Genomic DNA, 23,019 nt, shown 5'->3' on the forward strand with positions numbered 1-23,019 from the left:
GCGAGGAATTCCTAGTGGAGGGGGGCTAGAGGGGGTTCCTCTATTACATGCATACTGGAGAGTCTTCATGAACACCCTTGCAGTCCTACAAGAACAGATGAGACAGACAGCTGACCAGGCAGCCATGAACCTTTCCGTCTGTGTGAACTGTCACCGTGCTTATAGACACAACTCCACATGTTCCGTAGAAGTTGGAAAATAGAATGTGCCTGCAGATTGTTTGGGCCTGTGAGTACAGGATTCAAACCTCCTTAGCAGATTGCTAGATTGAGACTCTGGGTGGATGCTGAGGTCTCAAGTCTCAGTTCAGCTTGGTTTGCTGCACTGAACTCAGCACACACATGGTCGATAACTCTTTCACTTGGCTGCCCTCTCTACCCTGCACTGGAGAAACTGCCTCCTGGGCAACTAAGCTAAGAAAGCTGTTGCTCTCATCTGGCTGGTTTCAGAAGGAGAAGGATGTCAGGAGTATGCAAAAGCTTGTTTCTTTGTGCAAGTCTTCAGCTGATTCTGAGTTGAGTATTCAGCTTGTTCTTTCTTGGAGACTCCTACAGCAGAGGCCCCTGAGAAGTCCTTGGTTGTTTGTGCAGATCTGGCTGTTCCATTCTGATGCACAGGTATTCCACATGGGTGCTAGGAAAAAGTGTGGTTACAAAGTGGCTCTGGGTCATTTGGAATAAATCAGTTGGACAACTCTTTTTTTGTTGTTTTATTCAGGACACTGGAAGTTTGTCTCATTGCTTTAATGAGAGTTGCATCTTCTTAGTTATGCTGTTGAACACATCTGGGGCCTGTTACTGCACCCTTACTCTTAGATAAATTGTAGCACCCATGCCCACACAGGTAGACCTCCTACCTTCATAAAGGGAAGTCAGAGGAAGCTGATACCCCACTCAGGTGGCCTTTAAATTTGAGGGGCGGACTTTGGGACCATGTTGCTTGGCAACAAATAACATATAGCAAAAACAAACACATAAAGATATGACCCATGATATTCAAACTTTAAATTCTATAACACTAGTTTGCTTAAGATATCAGCTGCTATACGGTAAAGTTTTTAAGGCAGCTGTAATTTGCGGAAATGCTGGCATTTACTTTTTCCATAGTCTTATCTTGAAGGCATAAATTGGAACTAAATCTGGGTTCAAGCCCCTTCTCATTTCTCTGGTACTCTTCCAGTAATATAGTTAACATTTGGATAAGGACGCATATTATGATTCTATCTATAGTTATTTACCCTCTCCCAGTTTAACATGAAGCCTTGCTAGCTTCCTAACTATAATATTTCCACCTTATTTTTTAGTTATGTGTTGGACCCTGAGTTGTCTTAAGGACTGAGGAATTTAAGACTCATTAATATTTTTATTAGTGTTATTTCCTTATAAATGAATTATCCCTTTCAGCTAACTATATCTTTAGAAAATGATCTTGGTTTTCTTCCATCATCATATCAATAATAATAAAATTAGCTAAGAAGTTGTAATTACTCTTCCTATATTCTCTGTGATGTGCTTAAATAGAATATCCACTTATTATGATGTTAATTTCCATTTATTACAAATGAGCAGGAACAAAATGTTCCTAACTGTCTGACTCCACCTTTTCCTGCACATTATGACTCCCCTATAAGTAAACCACACAGCCCACTATCGTATGTTCTCTAATGTACTTTCTAATAAATAAAGCCAGCTTAAAAAAAGATGTTATTCATTACATGTAAAATGATCATTTGAATTGCTTTTACTCTGAGTGACCCATGCATCACTTAATCAGACCCATTTAAACAGAGAGAGAAAGAGAATATGAGAACTGAGTGATCTGTCTGTATTTCATTTGGTGGCAATATGGGCAGAATTTAGTCTAAGAATGATTCTTTAGCCATCTAATTGTTTCCTGAAAAAAAAGTCTTATCTTCAGCATATATAGGTGGTGGTATGATGGGCTGTATAGAAATATAAGTTTAATCTGACTAGTGAAGATCATACTTCATCAGTTCACTTGTGACAAAAAAAGAGTGGCATGATCTCAAAGTTGTTCTCAGCCTTCTCACTCCTTTCAATCAGTTGAATCAACAAATCGATCACTTGTTCCATATGTAATAGCTCTCCCCGTGTAGAAATGAAGAGTTAGCAAACCTCTAGAATGCAAGACCAAATTCTTTGTTAAAGTTTTCTTATAATGAATTCTGTCTATTCCGCATATATGGAAAAACTCAGGGTAAGACACTTAACTTTTTTTCTGTAGAGAAACGAAAGCTGTAAAGGCAAAGGTATTTTTCTACTGCCTCCCCTTCCCACAAACCACTGTATTACTCTAAAGAAATTTATTATCTCAATCTGCTATTCATCTAACAAACTCCAACTGCCTGCTAGTACCAGGCCCTGAGGAAATACAATACTGAACAAGACTCATTTACTATGCTCAAAGAGCTTATAGTCTGGTAGGAATGCTGCATATAAACAGGCCGTGTAAAGGTGGTGTAATATCAGCTATAATTCGCACATGGAAAATGCACCTACCTCTGTATTGGAGGATCCCGGAGGAAGTTCTCCCATAGTCAGGGAATGTTTTACAGTACTTCATGTTTTCCCAAGAACTTTCACATATATGATCTCGCTTGTTCCTCATAACACCCCTTTGAATTAGCCAGTTCCTTATCACCATCACGTCTTTGTGGGTAGAAGAAGGAAGGCTCAGCAAATTGAGTCACTTCATGAAGAGTACCCAGACCGACCTGAGACTGAGGACCCAGGTTCTGACCTTAAGGTTAGTCATGAATGCATATGTTTGGGGAAGTAGGGGAACTTGGAAAGACGAGAAATAGTGGCCCGGTGTTGCGAAATTACTGTTTGACCATCTGGAAATTTGCCCCTGGTTCACAGCCAGGTTTCAGAAGACATGGAACAATCATTCCACATTCACATAGCCTAAGCACAGATTCAGAATGCCCACTTTCCCTCTTCTGACCTTTTTTTTTTTTTTTTTTTTTTTTTTTTAAACTAAGGAAAAGAAGCAAGTCTAGAAGACAGGCAATTAGCATGATCACTCAGGCCAGTTTTTATAATTTTGGTTTTCATCCAAACTAGTCACATTTCATACTTTTAAAGTTTTTAGGCTTTTCTGCTGGAGATCATCTTCCTCACACTGTGATTCTTAAAGGTTATGTATTTTTTTTACCCTGATCATACTTACGTCTTTTGACAAGAGAGAAGACGGACATCCAGCTTTGGGTCTGCAGTGATCCATCATTCAACTTCCGGTCTTTTTCATCATATTAGATTGTGCTAGTACTTGCTCTTTCCTTAAGCTATCTCCATTACAGGAGGGGGAACTTATTGCCCCAAATATAACAGAGATGCCTGACTTATGGAGAGTTACTTCAGAGATGTTTCTGGAAGAAAGAGTTCTTTGGGTATAAATGAGAAACAAGGGGACAGTTGTGTTTCCCACACCATATTTTGGTATCTAGCATGTAAATTATACTCTCATAGACCACCTGGATCTGAATGGCTGCGATCTGGGGCCCTTTCCCAGTTTTGCATGGCAGATGAGGAAAATGCAGGAAACGCTGAGGCTTTGAAGATGTGCTAGAACCTCAGCAACACAGAGCCACTGAGCAGCAAGAGGAGGCTGAGACAGGGCAGAAACACCCCCACTGTTAAGAGTGATGAGGGTTTGGAGCACCTAATCTGGATCTAGAAATTGGCCGCTGTGCAGGCAGCTGGGTGGTTCAAGATCTAGCACCCAAAGAGTGTAGCAAGTTCAGGCCTGGGCATTTCGGCATAACCAGTCTGGTAGGTGGGGCCAGCAAGAAGGAATTCTAGGCCACAGGCCAATTCAGAAGTCAGGCAGGCCTACGATTGGTATTCGGAGATCTGTTTGGGAAGAGATGATCATCCCTCCAGCTGGCAGCACAGGAGAGCAGTATTCAGTTCTGGGGAAAGAAAGGGCTGGGCCAGGGGAGGGGAAGAGAGATTCCCAGCCAGCTGATGTTGGAGAGAAGACTAGATCCAGAAGAGGACCAAGAGCAGAGAAGGAAGTAATTCCTTGGTTTCTGTGACTTCTTTCTCACCCAAGATAGATTTCAGGTTAGCACACTGTGACGTCATCACTGAAAACCTCTCCCCTCCCCTCGGGCGTGGGGGGCAGTGTGTGACTGTTCTTTACTCCAGGCTGGTGATTCAGGAGGCAGCCTTGTTTGTGTTTCCGTATGCCTCCTGCAGGGGAGACTTGCTTTTCTTTGATACATAAATGGTGAGTGAAAAGTAACTCTCCTGTGAGCTTGGTCTCTTTTTTGCTCTTCTCTGGTCGAGCAGCCTGACCAGGCCTGGTCAGTGTGAATTGCCCAATTTCATAGTGTGCACGGGGGTCTCAGGAGAGGGCAATTGCCTCATAACTTTTCTATTAGCAGAATTTCAGATTCCTGACGTGGAGCGATACTTGAAAACCATTTGCGTGATGCTGGGAAATGTTTGCTTTGTCCTTCTTTATGTCCTAGGCATGGGCATTTTTGTCATTTCACTGGGGACTACTTGTAGGCTCTGAAAGCAGGAAGGGGCTTCTCTCAGGCCATGCCCTAGCTAAGCGAGGATTCCCCTCTGTATTTGGATAGCTGGTTGCTCAAGTTCCAACCCTTACATGAGGTTTTTCTGTATGATTTTCTCCTTTATGTTTTGGAGGCACACTCGGGAACGTTCTCGTTTTTTTTTGTTTGTTTTGCAATGTGGCTATTTTTGACTTTACAAAGCATTGGAACTGGCATCCTCCCATTCTTGTGAACTTTCTCTGGATCTGTAAATACTTGGTATTTGTTTTCTTCCTTGTACATTTCAGGGGTGGTTTTTATATTTAACTTTGACTAAGATACACTCACATGCTACTCTGAGAGTACATGCTTCGGTGTCTCTTTTTTCTTTGCCTTCAGTAAAAAGGATAAGATTCAGGGAAGGTTTATGAACTCACTTTATGGGTCAGACATGTGCTGGCTGTGGAGAGCATACAGCAATAAGAAAGGACTGTCTCTACCCTCAGATACCTTTCTAGAGGTTAAAGAAATGCACCTTGATCATTATCATTGTCTCTAATGGAGTAAATGGAAAGGGTAGTGGTAGAATGGTTAGGAGTTTAGCCTCAAGTCAGATCTGGGTTGAATCCACAAGGATTTGTATTCCTTATCTGTATAGCAGCCTATTTCCTTATCTGTGCATTAGGGACATTCAAAGGATTAAATGAGATACTTCAGAAAAGCAAGGATTGTGAGAATTAATTGATCAAAGATCAATGCCAATCTCAGTTTCTGGTATCTAGTAAGTGCTCAATAAATGTTAGTTTTTAGTACTGTTTCTATTATTCTTATTGTCTAGAGAAGAGATGGAAAGTTAGTCCTGTTTTTCGGTAGTGTGTCTCACTTTTCCTGGATCTGAAAGATACTTTCTTAAATGATATAACTTTTTTCCTTATCAGTAAAACAAAAATCTTTGCTGTTAAAAACTGCTGCAGAGGCTTGGCATGGTGGCTCATGCCTGTAATTCCAGCACTTTAGGAGGCTGAGACAGGAGATTTGCTTAAGCTTAGGACTTCGAGAGCAGCCCAGGCAACATGTGAGACTCCATCTCTAAAATAAGATGAATAACATAAAAAATTAAAACTGCTGCAGAAATATTATTTAGAAGGCAGAGGGTGAGTTATCATAAATTAACCTATTTTGTGTGGGAAATGAAAACTTGTACTAGTAAAAATTGCTTTCCAATGTATCCTCATCCACCAATTGGCTGCCAGCTTAATGTGATGGGACTATTTAGGCAGCACTGCCACCCATTGTTACTCTGAAGCACACTTGCAAAGTTCCAAGTCACTTTACAAGGCTTTTTTTGGGGGGCTGTGGGGGAAGAAAAAGAAAACAATAGAAAAAAAATGGTATGCCATGTTAGGAGAGTGGGTATAGATATTTTGGAAAAGACTTCTAGGAATGGGAATGGGATGGGGAGAGGTGACAAGAGTAGCAATGGTCATTTTGGAGCTTTGAGTGGGGGATTCAGATTAATGTTCCCCTGTTCAAATGGTGTACTCACTAGCAAAACAAACATAAGAACTCACATTCGCTGAGCTAAGCCACTGCTGCCAAACGATGCGCGAAACATTTTTATATAGCTGATTTTATTTCATCTGCCCCACAACTCTAAGGTGTAAGTACTATTACTAGGTTCATTGTTTCCAGAGGGGTGAAACGGGGCTTTGGAGAGGTTAAATAACTTGCCCAGGGTCACACAGCTATTAAGTGGTAAAGCTGGGATTTACATGAGCCCAGACAAAGAACCCAAGAAGCTAAGCTATTCTCTTGTAATACCTCCAACATAGGAGGCAAGAAGTGAGGTATTATACAGGTTGAGGAGATAAAGGGGAGAGAGGCCTGCAGTGCTAACAGGAGGAGCTGGGATTCATCCTGGCTTGTTCTGATAGGTCAGTTAGTCTTAGAGATACCCATGAGGTCACCTACTCAAAATGGGGCTCAGAGTAGCCTTGTCCCATTCTTGTCCAGTGGGCGCAGCTACAGTCTTCCTGGCCTGGAGTGACTGGAGGCTGTCCCCACGTCCCACTTCAGTGAGGCATTCATGTGCACCCAGCACACTTTCTAGCTTTATTTGCCTGGAGGGGAAGATTCTCCAGAACCTTGTTAAGATGCACAGTGTGGTCCTTGGACTGGCAGTGTGGCCTCGGCAGTCCCTGGGAGCTTGTTAGGAATGCAGAATCTCAAGCTCCTCCCTACTGAATCTAAAGCTGCATTTTAACAAGATCCCAGCTGTTTCGTATGCACATGAAAGTTTGAGCAGCACTGCTCTAGAAAGTTACTTTTATCTTTACTGTGCCCACCAAAGTAATCAAACTTTGTGAAGTACGATTATTTTCAAACAAGCCTACGTCCCTGACTAACCGAGTGGAAGGTGTGAGTGGCACTACAAATTCACAAAAGAACTGTAGCCTCAGATAATCAAAGGAGAGAAGGTCAGATGCAATCACTGATGCATGCTAGTAATTCTCAAACCTTCGTTTTCAGAAACGATTGGATTTTCAGATAGATTTGCAGTAAGAGAATAACAAGTCTTTATTTTTTTCATCCCAACTTCTTTCTTGCACATTTTTCTTCTAGCTATATTTAATATCTGTTCTCCCCACACACTTGCTAATCTACATTTCACAATCTTCTTCCACTTCACTTTGTCTGCAAAGAAATCTACCTGGACAGAATAGCATCTCTTTTTTTCCCCCTGACCCTTGGCATTTCCTCTCCCTCCAACTTCTGCCTGATCCTAGGATGGACTCTCTCATCCCTCATTCTCTATCATTAGCTCTCAGGCTGCCCTTCCTGCACTTTACCTTCCCCCACACCTTCTTACAGGAAAGCAGAATAGAAAGGCATCAGTGAGGGATGAACAGGAGAGTGCCTTGAGAGAAGATTCCCAGGAAGACAGGGAGAGCCAGACAGTGGACTGGTTGCAACCCATGTAGCCGAATCATAGTGCTCATTGCTGTGGAGGCTCTGGTCTGTCTAGCCACACAGACCAGTGAAGTGAGGGTACATAGGTTAAAAAAAAAAAAAAAAAGCTTCTACAGAATACAGACATGTTATCCTGGTGTGTCAATCAGGAAAGATGTGGTCCGGATGAACAGAATTGTACCTTTTTAAATATTATAACTTTTAGGGACATTCTTGATGAAAATGTTTCCACTCTATACATAACTCTCTCATATCTGATTATAACACTTAAAAAATAATTTAAAGTCAGTGGACATATGAGTTTATGCACTGTGCTATATATTTCCTTATTTACACAGCCTGTTAAGCATTTATATGGCTTTTTTTCCTATGCTAAAAGGGCCTTGTGTGCAATGCCTTTTAGGTTCTTGTCTTTTGCCTCTTTATCATCTTATACTTTTACAAAGCTCTCAGCCTACAAACTATGAGGCCAGAAGCTAGATGAGCAAACTTGAGAACTGCATCTAAATTAAATGTAACTGTTCTTCAATTGAGGGTCTTATGATCATTTCTCTGTAGAAAGTATACGAGCTTTACCACATATAATCTATGATTGTAATCTATTGGTTCTTAAGCTTGGCTGTATGTTATAATCAACTTGGAGCTTTAACAGTCACTAATGCTGAAATCTTACCCCACCTCCCAAACTGATTTAATTGGTCTTGAGTGCAGTGTAGGCATCAGGATTTGTAAAAGCTACCACATGATTTAAATGTAGCCCATGTTGAAAAGCACTCCTTCTAATCTGGATGTCAGAAAGCTTTTTAAATTTTTATTTATTTATTTATTTTTTATTGAGATGGAGTCTCGCTCTGTTACCCAGGCTGGAGTGCAGTGGCTCGATCTCCACTTGCTGCAAGCTCCGCCTCTCAGGTTCAAGGGATTCTCCTGCCTCAGCCTCCCGAGTAGCTGGGATTACAGGCATGCATCACCACGTCCAGCTAAGTTTTGTATTTTTAGTAGAGGCAGAGTTTCACCATCTTGGCCAGGCTGGTCTAGAACTCCTGACCTCAAGTGATCTGCTCGCCTCAGCCTCCAAAAGTGCTGGGATTACAGGCATGAGCCACCGTGCCCGGCCAGCTTTTTTATTTTTCAAATCCTGCTTTTCAAGTGTATTTTATTTAATTGAGTTTGTTGAAAAAGTGACCTCAGATAAATAAATGCTATCTTGTTGTGTAAAAGTGTTTGTATATACACACATATATACATGCATAGCAAATACATATGCAGAGTAATATAGAAGTTTAAAACTAAATTACATAGCAAGCTTTTGCAGATATCACAAAAATAAATGTTGTCTTTGTGTGTTTGTGTGTGTATTTGTGTTTGTGTGAGCATATGTGTGTGTATGTGTGTCTGCCTGTCTGTGAGATCCTATATGGGGTACTTTTTTTCCTAAAATGATCTATTTTTGTGGTTATGTAGGAGTTTATGACCATTCATTAATAGAGCATTTATATGTATTTTGGGGAGCATATTATGAGTAATGAACTAGCATTATTAAAATAATTTTAAAAAATAGGCAAGGTACTAGTTCTGAAAATTCTTTCTAAGCTGTTGATTCAAAATAAAAGTTTATGACTTTTGTACTGTTTTACCTTTGCACTTGAAAGTGCAAATATAAAAATAAAGAAAATACTCTTTATTTCCTGAGAAAAAGATTGGGGGATTTCCATTTTATTTTACCAATAATGTAAATGTATAGATTTCAGTATATTTTGCAGTGTACTCACATCCTGAAGTTTCTAAGACTCCATTAAAAAGTTATGCTGTTTTTGCAGGGATTTTTTCAGGGCATTTAGTTGTAAAAAAAAAATGCTGAATAGATGAAAAATGAGTAAAATCTGTGTTTTTTTTTTCTTTCCTATTCATCATTGCTGTTTGTCCTCTGTGTGTAGGCAACCAATTTGCTGTTGTTCCCCTGAGGGGAATTCAAGTCAAAAAGTAATATTGAATTACTAGGAAAAGGTATTCCTATCTCAAAAGAACAAAGTAAAATGATTCAGAAAAAAAAAAAAACTTGGAAAATTTATCCAATTTCCTGGTGTATGTTGTATGTGTCCATGGTACTTTACTTCTATGAACACTTACATAAAATAAATCTTAAGTAAACTATAAATCTGAACACTGACAAACTCCAACGGACAATTCTTAATTTTTATGAATGTAGAAAGTCTGCTATCTTCCTTTAATCCCATCCAATGCACATTCACATTTTGTCAATTTTTTTTTTTCATTCTATGAAAACCTAGTAAATATTTTCATTCTGGGTCTCAGTTATTTGATTTCTTTCCATGTTTTTCACCCAGTTATGTTTTATACATTATTTATGTTGAAAGTGAAGTGATAGAAGCTTAATTGAATGAATTATTTATAGTAAAGAAGTTATTCCACATTTATTTCAACAGGGTGGAAATCCCTGACTTATAAATACTCAAATTGTGAATGACCTAGATATACATACAGATGTTTATATACATACAGCCTAGATCTCTTACTTGTATCTCATTGTGTTACATCCACAGAACTCATTTACTGTCACTGCAATTCCTGTGGAAAAACTTGACGTGTTCAGAAACACATGGCTTCCCAAATATAGGCAGGGGTAAATGGCAGGGATTGTGAGGAAACAGAGGGGAATAGAGGGGAGGCAGAATATAATGATCAGTTTGGAAACTGACCATGAACTCTTTTATAAGAATGGCATCTGTTGATTAAAAAAACAAATCCCAATAGGAGCTGCATGTTTTAAAAACCTTTACTTATTACTTTACCTAAAATTCTGCCATTTAAAGATTCACTCATTTGCAATAACAGATCTTTCAAAGATGCCAACATTTCTGGGAAGGTGAGGAGGCCATCAGTCATTTCACCCCCATCCAAATTAGTTCTTTGAGATTGCTTTTACCTGAAGTCTGGCTTATATCAACAAGCCTGAAACGATGGACATTTTGATTGTTGGGAGACGAAGAGGGTCAGTTCAGAGCAGGAGAAGAATGGGTCCAGGTGAAGTAACCACAGTGGGAGGGCAAGAGCCTCTTCAAAGCACTGGAGCATGTGGAAACTCTAGGGGAGGGATACTATGCAGTGGAAAAAAGATACAGAAAGGGAGGTGCTCAGGGCAATTGCACATAGTTTAACATTTTTCTAGACTGGCTCTGTGCACAGGAATATGAGAAGAAACTCTTCTTCCCCCTTATTCTTATACTTTCTTCCTGCACCCAGGGCTCAGACATCAGTTGGAGCTTTATTCACTTAATAATTAGTTTTACTTTGCTGAGCTGGCTTTGGGACCTGACAGCATCCACAACTGGCTTCTATGCAAAAATACATTTGAAATGTCCAAGAGGACAACTTATCAATTCATGTCAGAATGTAATCTGTGCCTAAATTGGGGTCTACCTGAATGGACTCATTGCTTTTCCATTGTCCCCCATTCTTTAATCTTCATGATTTAATCAGGTGATTTGTTAGGTTGAACTAGAAAGAGACTGGGAAATGAGGCATTGTTTGACAAAATTTACATCATATTAGGGCACGCAATGGAGAGGACACTCATGACCCCATAGATACTTATGACTCACTAATAGGTCATGACTCTCAGAACCCTAGGGATGAACACCCACAACCTGCTCCTCTTACCTCTCCAGCCTCATCTTGTTTTGCTTTCCCAGGTTCCAGTTCCTCCAGCCACACAAGGCCTTGGTATATGCTGTTCCTTTGGCCTGGAATGCTCGCCTCTGCCCTTTTAGGCTGCCCACTACACGTAGTTGACTTTTCTCCGCCCTTTAGATTTTGGCTCAAGATCACTCCAGCCTAAGTGAAGTCTTCTTGTTTCACACACTCATAGATGTGTACTTTTTTCCAATTAAGAGCTTCAGTTTGCAGTTGTACATTTATTACTGTAATTATTTTGTTTAACTTTAGTGCCTTCTAACTGGAAGGCTTGATAGAAACAGAAACTGCTGATTTTGTTCACCATTTATGTCTCCAAGTGTTGGCCTAGTGTTTGGGACATCAATAGGTTGTTAAATGAATGAACGAATAACAAGAATGACTTTATGCAAAAGATGGTTACATATATGGGGCATTTTTTTTTTTTTTTTTTTTTTTTTTGAGACGGGGTCTAGCTCTGTCGCCCAGGCTGGAGTGCAATGGCGCGATCTTGGCTCACTGCAAGCTCTGCCTCCCGGGTTCGCGCCATTCTCCTGCCTCATCCTCCCAAGTAGCTGGGACTACACTCACCTGCCACCATGCCTGGCTAATTTTTTTGTATTTTTGGTAGAGACGGTGTTTCACCTTGTTAGCCAGGATGGTCTCGATCTCCTGACCTCATGATCCACCTGCCTCGGCCTCCCAAAGAGCTGGGATTACAAGTGTGAGCCACCGCGCCCAGCCCTATGAGGCATATTTTTAAATGCTACATTTTACCCTTTAGCGGAGGAGGGGGAGCAGTAAATTCATAGGAAGAAGTATTTTCTCCAGGCTCTGACTCTCCATGTCTTCCTTTAGGTTTCTGTGATGTCAGGAGTCCACTAAAGGGCAGAAAAAGGCTGTGAGCTCATTCCACACTGGTTAACAATTAACAATTTCTTTCTTTTTTTTGAGATGGAGTCTTGCTCTGTCACCCAGGCTAGAGTGCAGTGACGCGACCTCAGCTCACTGCAGCCTCCGCCTCCTGGGTTCAAGCGATTCTCCTGCCTCAGCCTCCCGAGTAGCTGGGATTACAGGTGTGCATCACTGCGCCTGGCCAATTTTTGTATTTTTTTAGTGGAGATGGGCTTTCACTATGTTGGGCAGGCTGCTCTTGAACTCCTGACATCAGGTGATCCACCCGCCTCGGTCTCCCAAAGTGCTGGGATTATAGTTAATAGCCACTGTGCCCGGCCTATTAACAATTTCTTGTCACCATTTAAGAAACCTAAATTCTGCTAGAAAGGAAAAGCTTGATGGCAGATCTCTGTGGAGCCAACTTTAGGAAGCTTATTGAGCCATTTCTTGTTATAAGTGCCAATAATACGTTTATTTAAAGTTTGTGTATTCTTAATCTACAGCCCCACCATTCTTAGCTCCATCTTTTCCGTCATTGCCACTGCTATGTCTGTACCACAGGGCACTTGTTAAGCCTCTTCTAGAACTTAGCTCTGCCACAGTAGGTTCCCACGTCTAACTCTTTATTTTGGTTTCCAAAGGAACCGCTTCAAATTTTCCAGGAAAGCTGTGGGTGGTAAAATATATGAGAATATGCCTTCTTTTGTTGTTTTCCTTTGATTAACTGGGAATCACTTTGCGCTAAGAACAAGGAAGCCTTAAATATCTATGGATAAGAGAAGATACAAAAGTGAGGCCAAGGAGTTAACAGAATCCTAATTAAAGATAAACTTGGATCATTACCTATTTGTATATTGGCTGCAGAGTTGTATACTTCATATACATATGAAGTATAGTGTGTTTCTCTTGAAAATGTGTAATAAGACCTAAGGGGTTGGCCAGACACAGGGCCTAAGACAGATAATCCAAGCACTTGGAAGGCTGAGGCAGGAGGTTGCTTGAGGCCAGGAGTTTGAGACCAGCCTGGGAAACATAGTGAGACCCCTGTCTCTACCAAAAATTAGCTGGTGTGGTGCCATGCACCTGTAGTCCTAGCTACTCTAGAGGCTGAGGCCTGAAGATCCCTTGAGCCCAGGAGTTTGAGGTTACAGTGAACTATGATCATGCCACTACAGTACAGTATGGGTAACAGAGTGAAACACTGTCTCTTAAAAAAGGAAAAAAGAAAAGACTTAAGGGGCTGTATTATGTCTTCAGGGAAAAGCTGATACGATTACTTGAAAAAAAATCAAGGAAAGCCAGAGTTCTAGAGTTTTATATATTTAGCATCAGATATTTGATGTTTAAAATGCCGGCCTGAAGTTTGAGCTGAGGATCAAATTGTCTGCTTAGAAACAACTGAGTTTCTCAGCTATGGTAAACCTGGGAAATGTGCAAAGGGGGGAATATAATTAATTAATTCACTGGGAAAAAATGCAGAAAGAAACAACCTTTGCTCAGAAAAGATGCACAAACAGCAAGAAATTTTAGTTAAGTAAATGATTTTAAATTATAATTGCAGAAAGTAGTGATATATTTCTGAAAGGCTATGGTAGACATCATAAAGAATTCTGATACCTTAACTCTTAGTCCATCTTTTGTGCAAGATGATCTTAAAGGTTTAGAAGAAATATCCCAGCTCTGAGAAATGTATTTCTTCCATGTTTTCTTATAGTTTTTTATTGATTTTCATTGGTGAATATTTTTCAAGAGTTTAATTTAGATATGTCTCAAAAAGAAATGTAAGGGATGAAAATGCAAACTATGGTTTTCTTCCTACAGCGAAAAAGATACATTCATTTATTCATTTTATAAGCGATGAACAAGTTTGTACACTGTACACTGGAGTAACGCCAGGATTTGAGAGCAGAGAGGTGCATGACTTGGTTCCTGCCTTCTCAGACCCTGTAGTCAAATCAGGGAAAGAGATATGGAAATAAACAGTTTTAGCAGAGTGTTAGGATGGAGGAATGCCAGTAAAAGAAAAATCACCTGGTTGGTGGGTGGGATTGGTGTGTCACTAAATCAGCTACAGTCCAGCAAATACCTCTTAGAGGAGATGGCCATTGAGCTGAGCTGTAAAGGTCACCAGGAAGTTTGTCATGTTGTTGGGGGAAGCAAGCGAAGACTGCTGCAAGGAATGGGACTAGGATAAGGAAATGCAAAGAGGTAGAGAGAGCAGTGCATGGTGCCATGAGAACTTCAAGTCTGCTCAGGACCGGAGGTGGAGCTGTGAGTGCCAGTGCGTATGGGGACTTGGCAAATACTAGGCTGGAAAAACACCCAGGAGAGAGATCGTGAAAGGCCTTCCACGCCAGGCTAAGAAGTATAACCTTTATTCTGAAGGCAAAGGGTAGCCACCAAAGGATTTTAAGTACCAGGGTGATATGATCAGATATATGCTTTAGAAAAATCATTCTGGCAGCTATTATATATTCTAAATGAAGATAAAACATCTCCTTAAGACCTCTGAAGTATTCCAGCTGGTTCCTGAAGAAGGGATGTCTATAATTCTTGCCATATATCCTCTTAACATACCATAGAAACATTATCCCACCTGAATTCTGGCTAACTAGACTTAACCATGACCTGGAGAAATAGGTTTGGGGTAGTTGTTACATTTTTCCTAATAACCCTGGACATCAGGCACACCCAGAGAGGCCACTGTAAAGGAAACCCAGCCTTTCCATATTGATGGGGTGTTTGTGTCAGCAGCCACTAGCAAGGCAGGATGTTCTACACACTTTTCAAGGGGTGAGATGCCATTTTCCCTCATGTAGATACTCTATGGGAGAAACATGCAAGAGAAAAAAGAAACCTTCATGTTGGGCTTTCTTTTTGCTGACAATAAGATCATGCAACAATATCCTATTTGCATGAAAATGTAGCCATCTTACAACAGGAACTATACATTCATAAGCATACTTTTGAATGGACCATTTGGAAAACTTTTTAGGCACAATCGAATTTATGCAGTATCAAGAGATACAACTATAAATGGCCTGATTTTTGAGTCTAGGTACGTTTTGGGATTAAACACTGTTCCTAAACACTGGAAGAGGAGAAAAGTAAAGTTTAAAGAGAGGATATGGCCCAAAACTGTGGAGTCTCAATACAAAATTGTAAATGAAAATGATCTTGAAGTCACTGTGGCTTCCAGCTTGGCTTCTAGAAAAACAAGGGGGTCCACAACCTTACACGTTCATTTGCCCTGGCAGTTGAAAGTTCATCTCCTTAATTAGGAGTTTTGCTTCTATGACATAAAGAGCCCTCTAATAGAAAACCTATTTTATTTTTACCTGATGGCCCACTGACACAGGAAGTTCTGATCAGTTGTGATGTAAATCTTAGGAGCTGTTTTGGGTTTTGTTGTTGCTTCACTCTGAGTAGGTTTAGGGGAACAGCAGTCCTGAGAGGACAGGAGTTAGTAGGGAGAGAAAAAAAATGGAAGCAAGGCTTTGACCTGCCGGAGAGGAGCCCCTGCTGACACGGTCAGTCTGACCCATTGAATGGCCTGAATACGATAAATGCCGCTTTATCCTGCCTTGAAAGGCACGAGATAGCACAGTCTAAATGCCTGGGCATGCTTAAATAGGCGACTCGGGATGTTTGAGTTGAGAGTGTTTGAAATCTGAGCTCTCTGACAGCCTGGGAGCTGCCACAGGTCACCTGCCTTGCTCCGTAGGGACAGGCCCAGGTCTCACAAGAAATTGTCCGTAGACGAATTGTAGTACAAATTCCTTTCTTTGTTGGTTGGCCTCTTTCACTAGACCATGGCCTATAAAATTTTGTAAAAACAATTCTTAAATATTATTTGAAAGGGCAAATGGCCCACGCTGAAAGGTTTGACAGTTTGACATATAGTGCATGGTTTTGATAGCTCGGAAACTGAAAAGTGTGGCCAAGATTCTCCCCCTGCTCGTTAGAAACCTGGTGTTTTTTTAAATAGTGTCTTGTTGCTGTGCAGAGTTCCTCTGCTCCTTGAAATCTGACAGGCAATGAGTCTGCTCCAGTGATCTTAAATCCTTTTAGACTAATTTGTGAGAGAGTAGCAAAGTACTGTAGCTAGCACCTTTGAGTCCAGCATCCAAGAGGCACAGAACCAGGTATTGCCAATTAAGGAGCCATTCCGATAATCGTATCAAAGCAGATTGCTTTAGAGTCTTATAATGCCCGAGCCTGTGCCTAGAGAGAGAGGAACCCAGAGTTTCACTTCAATGAGGGGGAAAAAAGAGACTGGAGTGGCCCGGTCTCATCAGAGCCCAGGAAGTTGCAGGGAGAGGATTTCTGCATTAGAATGTTGCATATGTGCGGCCTGTGTGTGCGCAGCCCCGGCCGCTGCCTCTGCATAGCCAAAGGCCATTTTCAGGAGCCTCTGGCCCCTCAGTCACTGGCCTGCTAGTTAATTGCCACACGGACTTCATGACACATGGGCAGATAATATGACATTTTCAGTTTCTGTCACTAGCAAACGCCACAACGTTGCTTGCACTAGTTGCTAAGAAGCTGTCAGAAACCATTAGCGGTTGGCTAAAGTCGCCCTATGGCATTTCCTCATAGCATCAGCAAAACGAGCATAAATCACCCACTGGAGCCTACTGCTATCCTAATGAGGCTGTAAGCTTGTTTATGGACTAGCATCATTTTTATGATTATTTCCACCTTTTCAGTTTGCCTTCATTTGGCGGCAGGAGAAGTCAGCTCCAGGAATGAAGTCACTGCTGACATTTTACAAATGTGGTTCAGAGCTGCTGCCTGCTGCCGTGTGGTCGGCCGGCGGTTCTCCAAGTTTGTTTAGTGATCTCAAAAGTAAAAAAGGAAAGAAATTCTCGAGAGACCACATTGAGGTGACTATATCAAATTGCGGAGTGAATGGAAATGCTAAAGGTACAATTGACCATTTAGACTTTCCTCTGAGGTTGAGACATTTCCAGATCAATTTTCAATTTTAGAAAGTGGAAGAGGTTAAACAATTTATTAAAATCTATGAAAGTGTTTGCTTTTAGAATAGTCTGTTTTATTATGCTCTTCTCCTTCCCCATCTTCTCCATTTCCCTAACTTGTGTCGGAAAGGAGCAGGGTTTATTGTTTTAGGCTTTTCTGAACATGCACCAGTATTTACACTGGATTGAAAGCATTTGCTTCCAATGAAAATCTTGTCTTAGATTACAACCCAGCAGTGTAATTTCCCTCCCAGATGGGAGTAAAGTAGCTGTATTTGCCTAAAAACAGTAGGAAGAACAAACTGTGCATTAAGCCAAGGCTGTTTTTGGCTTGAGCTAATGATGTAATAGAAACCTTTTATTCAGGAGAGGTCACTGCCAGGGACTGAAGGGGGTGATCTGGCTCCTGCTTGAAAGGTTTCTCCATTGTATCTACATAAGTCTTCACTTAAAAAATTCTGTTCCTAATGCTTCTGCTTTCATACAGCAGAAATAAACAGGAAAGGTTCTGGTGAGTGTTACACATGGAATGCAGAAAGCCTTCCTCTCCTAATGGAGTATATAATTCAGGTGCCCTCAAGGCACGCTTTCAGGAATTCTTTTGCCTGAGGTAATGGGAAGCTAAGGTTGCTTTAAGGCCTTGATTATCTATTGATGCACAAAGCTGGAAAAAAGTCATCTCTGCTGGATTATAGTAGATATTTCCATAAATTATCAATGAATTCTCTTCTAGGCAGGCACTATGCATTGCTTGCTAAATTAATCTGAAGGGGTTTGAGGTGGATAAAAAGGCTATTTTTTTTAAAGGTGGAAAATAATCATGGGGAGGTGGTGAAAACAGTATTGTAAGGTTATAAGCTTTTCATTTTTAATCAATGATCAGGTCGTATGTGTCTTTTCCTTGGTTACCTTTTGCATATTGAAAGTGGATTAGCCCATTGAAAATTTAAATGCTGTTGAGTTGTTTTCTTTTCTCATGTTTCTTTAATGAATTGTTATTTTATATGGTAAACTGCTTCTCTGAATAAAAAGGCTGTTTAAATACTGGACTTTCAAAGAATTTATTAGGCAAATCCAAGGGGACTTCTCATAAAATACTTGGTTATGCAAATAAAGAGTTTGGTTGGGTGGAAGGAGTGCTGATTTACAGATGTAGGGGTCTGGAACAGCACAGACCCCAGTAGTTCCATGCCAGGGTACATGACCTTGGCCCAGTCAGAGAACATAGCATTTTCTTCACTGATACAACAATGGCTTTGGAGTGGTGGGTTTTCATGATCTTTTCCAAGTGAACACAAGATATGTTTCTGTTAAACTTTTAATGAAACAGATAGATTTTAAATATAATAAAATTACAGATTTTTAATGAATAAAAGTTTAGAATCAGAAAAGTTTTGCAAAAGTTTTGCATTTATAGCATATTCTGTAATAATAGTAGAAATGTTGGAATTAGTTTGTTCCTCACCCAACAAACTTTCTAAACTTCATCTCAGTACAAGTTAAGGCAATTGAAAAAAAAAAATTGAGGAATGCTTTTCTTTTCTTTTTTTCACAGGAGAGAGATGGGTCTGCTGAGGGAGCTGTTAAAAACAGTTGATTAGTTGCAACATACCTACTATAGATTAGACAGAAATAACTGAAATTGAACTAGAGAATTATTTTTTTATGTAGGACCTAATAACAGAAATGAGAAATACAGAAATTCATGAAGCCATGGAAATGAACCTGAGGCTATGTGCAGGAAACTTGTCTTACCAAAGTTTCAGGTTCTTTGGGTCGTGTAGTTGGCTCTCCAGTGGCTTATTTAACCCAGTGAATGTGCTCTTGGGTGTATTTTTTTTTTACCTCATTTCTAAGCCTGGCTGCTATAGCTCTTCCGTTTGGGCCCAGATCAACCTGTCGGTTTCTAAGAGAACGGTTGACCGAGCTAAGCTACTTTTTAGTGTAATGGGTCTTGTCCTTTGTTGTTTTCCTTTTTGACTTTGATGCCAAGGCAAAAAATACCTACTTTCCATTTGTACCTTGTAACTTATTTTGAACAGTTATATGGGTTAAATTTTTATTTTTTCTTATTAAACATGGCATTTTAAAAAAGAAATACTAACTTTTTAAATTTCATTATGTCACAGAGCCAAAATATTTTCTAGAATAAAGAGTGTAAATGTTATAATAAAAATCAATAGAAAAATAGGATCCAATATAGAGGAATATGTTAGCAGGTGATTTTTCAGTGTGAAAAATGCTAGGTTTACCTAGCATGAATTTTAGAAACTGCCTGAATTATTAGTGTAATACAATTCTAATTTACTATTAATTTAGCATTACCTTATTTGATTTACACAGTAATTGTTTTTTAATTAAGAAACTATGTCAGGGGTTTTTCCTTTACTAAACTTGATGCTTTCTCTCTATTACAAGAAAAATTATATTTTATTTGAAGCATTCCTATGTCAAACTGCTTATATGATGGATTACCTACATTTCCCCATCCTAGTTTAACTAGTCTTAAGATAGATCACTTGTGGAAATAGTTGATATCTTAAATGAATCTTCTCACAAGTCAATGTCAATGACTGTGGGATTTGAATGCCCAGGCAGCCATAGCGCCACAGCTAATGACTGCCACCATGTTTAACTCCCCGGTAGGAGTTACACTTAACCTGTCTCAGCTATACATATTGGAATAATTACCATAGCAACAAAGCCACAAGGGGATTGGATATTTCCCTCCATTCCCTTTGACTTTTGGCAATGTTCTTTGGAAGAAGTTCTTTAGACCTGACTGCTCTTGAGCCTAGGCCTTGTTCTTTCTCTGTCTTGGAAAACAAAACACAACAAAAAAACAGTACCAAAGAAACTATTAATCATTTAAATTTGCTCTTTTGGTTTTGTTTATATCCAAAGGCATTCTATTTGAATAAAGCATGTCAAGGTAGCATCAGTCAAAATTTGATTCGCTATGTTTGCAGGTGATGGCTTGGACAACAGTGTAGCTTCCCCCAGCACAGGTGACGATGATGACCCTGATAAGGACAAAAAGCGTCACAAAAAGCGTGGCATCTTTCCCAAAGTAGCCACAAATATCATGAGGGCGTGGCTGTTCCAGCATCTAACAGTAAGTGGATTCTAAATGACATATATAAACTAAATATGGACAATGAACCAGTTTTTATACAAAAAAATGAGAAAAAAGTGATCCCTCTGGACTTGAAATATTTAATAAATAACTGTGTTCCCACAGTTTTTGCAAAAGTATTAGCACTTATTTCTTAGATAGATACCCCAAATGAGAAATTTTATTTAAAATTCACGATTGCGATTTTGTTAACTTTCATAAGTTAAAAGATTTAGGTGTTCATGTGCACTTGTGATTTTAAGTATGTGTTTTAATGATGTTGCTTTTCTAAGTGTGACCCTTAAGTGCTCAGAACCATCTCCTACTAAGAAGAAAGTTAGACAAACCCTAGAGAGAGACTTAATATCTTCTGATGCTTTAGTGGATCTTTACAACAAATGGTCCACAAAAATTTAAATCATGTTGCAATGGCAAGATGATCACATAATTTGCTTTTAAGTGGTTTGAATGCACTGGCTTCCATTACAAAACATTCATGTAAGTCAGAGCTCCACAGTGAAAGTTGTCCCTGTATTTAGAACTGTAAAGGAAAACAGCAATATAGAGTCAGCTCTTCCTGTGTAGTCCCTTGTGACTTTTCAAGCAGAGTAACAGTTTATATTGTCTGTGCCAGTATTGCTGTTTTCACTGCAGGAATTCTCCTGGAGATGTGAGAAACTGGAGATTTGGGGCTTTATGCCACTGGGGGATTTGTTTTGTTTGGTTATTGTTCTGAATGAATTTCATGTTCAAAATATTTATAATAATAATATTTTGGTGGATATTTTTGTAAGTGCATACCAATTTAAAGAAGAAGATACAATGAAGATTTGTGGATAAAATAATATTTTAAAAATCAACAAAATTGTTGACCAGAGGAATTTCAATATTAGAGACAAAGGATGAATTTAGACAGGTTGTAGCAAAGTTACATAGATGGATAAATGTTAAAAACTCTTGAGGGTTGTTTTTTAATATCAGGAGAAAATATTTTGTGTTACTATTTTTGTCTTAGCTTGCTTTTCCTAAAGTCAATTTTTCCTTAAATATTAAAGTTAATCTTGCATTGTCATAAACACTTGCAGAGCCTGTTTACCTTCATACCTGGGCCCACATTCAAAGCCATGTTCCTCAGTGAGTTTTACGGGTACAGAGATACAAACTCAGGGGATGTCTGCAGGTCATGTTAGTTCTGCTCCTCTGGATAGAGGCTGTGCCTCTAATAATACTCAAGGGTATAAATTAATCCAGATTTTCCAGCATCAGTGAATAAGATAAAAGCTGAGAGCAGCAGGAATAGCTAAAAAAAAAAAAAAGTTTCCTCCCTTCTCTTCTTCCCATAATAATTCCAAACAGTATCTAGACTACACTACAGTTTTTGAGTAAACTTCAGGGCTTGGCTATGCTGGAAATTAGTTGGAGATTTAGATTATTTGAGCTGTTTTGATTTTAACATCATATTAGGTTTACCTAGAATCTGATTCAGGCACCACTACTTATCTGACACCTGTTGCATGTGTGTAGATATTTCAATATCTGACTCCTGCAAATTCCCCACTGAGGATTATCAATCACTAATGAACTAGGGGAAAGAGGACTCAGGTCTTGAGGGCATATCATGAAAAACGAATGATATGACATTTAGATAAGAAGTGGCAATTGGTCAAAGGTGTGGTACAATGATGCTGATGCAATGATGCTAATATTTTATCTCCAGAAATAACCAGCTAACTCGCTGTGTGGAATGAGTTGGTGTGGTGGATAAAATCAGGTTGGCCCTGAAGTCACAATCAAATAATTTCTATTTCCTATAGACTAACAGAAACAATGAATAGATTTCTTCAGCCCCCATCTCAATCTGCAAAGGAGTTTTGGCTTTACTTGAAGCTGAGGTGCCCCTGAATAAAATATAATCAAATATTGGTTCAGACAGAATCAGGAGAGAGAGAAGCAAGCTATTTTATGCAGCCACTAGTTTTCCTGTTTTTCTAGGTTGTACCCTTGTGAAGACCCTTGCATAGAGCTACATTATCTTCTTGAAACAAACAAACAAACAAAAAACCCAAATAAACTTTCTAACAGCCCGCATGATTTTACATGCATTGCATTGCTTATATGGACTATGTGTTTGTTACTGGGGCAATTGTAATCGAAATTATTCATGAACTGCCTGATTTCTTGAGACCTAAATAATAGTCTTCAGTTTTGAGGTCTTTGCTGGCCTGTGCCACTGCCCTGGAAGGGGAAGCCCATTCATCCATGTTTCCCCAGCTTTCTGTGAATGTTTATAGGTGTTACCTTGTGGTTTCCATTGGATATTTCTACCTCCATTACCCACTCCAATGCCATCTGCTCATACAGAAATATTGATTAATGATAATGGTCTGTAGATAGCTAATTGTTCTTATAACATCATCTGAAGAGCAAAGTTAAGAGATATGTTTAAATTTTTCATCTTTTCCTTCCCCCAATGAAAAAGATTCCTTCCCACTTCTCTAATTGCAAGAGCAAATAGACCTCCAGCTATAAGGAACACCCGTTACCCTTGTTTTGTAATCCTTCTTGAAGGAATGCATGGACTGCTTAGGTAATATTTATAGTAAGGAGCTAATTTTAATAAATTCTATTTTAAAAACCTATAGAATCTAAAGAGAGTTTTGTTGTTGTTTGTCTAAATGTAAGTAACCACTGACATCTCAGTACTAATTCTTTAGTGACTTTATTTCAAGTTCTGGGAGGTCTTCAGGGATGCACAATTCATTAGGAAGACTGTACAAATTTTAAATGGTCACGTCATTGCTATGTGATTAATGCAACTTATCTAGGAAATCCTTTCT

At 39.5% G+C, this 23,019-nt stretch overlaps 1 protein-coding gene across 1 annotated transcript in view, besides 3 other annotated features; it reads left to right on the forward strand.

Annotated features, from left to right (window-relative positions):
- Positions 1-23,019, forward strand: part of MEIS1 (Meis homeobox 1) — a 138,745-nt gene that overhangs the window by 56,988 nt on the left and 58,738 nt on the right. The window contains exon 8 of the mRNA NM_002398.3: positions 20,037-20,182. Within this exon, the coding sequence (NP_002389.1) occupies positions 20,037-20,182 (146 nt within the window). The remainder of the gene's footprint in view (positions 1-20,036; positions 20,183-23,019) is intronic.
- Positions 15,080-18,343: an enhancer, noted in NCBI's record as "E6 enhancer". NCBI's record gives its function as "enhancer in anterior lateral mesoderm, heart" and the evidence as "EXISTENCE:transgenic organism evidence [ECO:0001131][PMID:24022755]".
- Positions 15,141-16,084: an enhancer, noted in NCBI's record as "OCT4-NANOG-H3K27ac-H3K4me1 hESC enhancer chr2:66734385-66735328 (GRCh37/hg19 assembly coordinates)". NCBI's record gives its function as "activates a minimal SCP1, AML or CMV promoter by ChIP-STARR-seq in naive and primed H9 embryonic stem cells {active_cell/tissue: H9 hESC(naive and primed)}" and the evidence as "EXISTENCE:reporter gene assay evidence [ECO:0000049][PMID:30033119]".
- Positions 15,479-17,006: an enhancer, noted in NCBI's record as "HHc2:066628". NCBI's record gives its function as "enhancer in forebrain, hindbrain, eye, neural tube" and the evidence as "EXISTENCE:transgenic organism evidence [ECO:0001131][PMID:22448256]".

This window comes from Homo sapiens, chromosome 2 (genome assembly GCF_000001405.40).
Source record: "Homo sapiens chromosome 2, GRCh38.p14 Primary Assembly".
In the NCBI taxonomy this organism is placed as follows: Eukaryota; Metazoa; Chordata; class Mammalia; order Primates; family Hominidae; genus Homo; species Homo sapiens.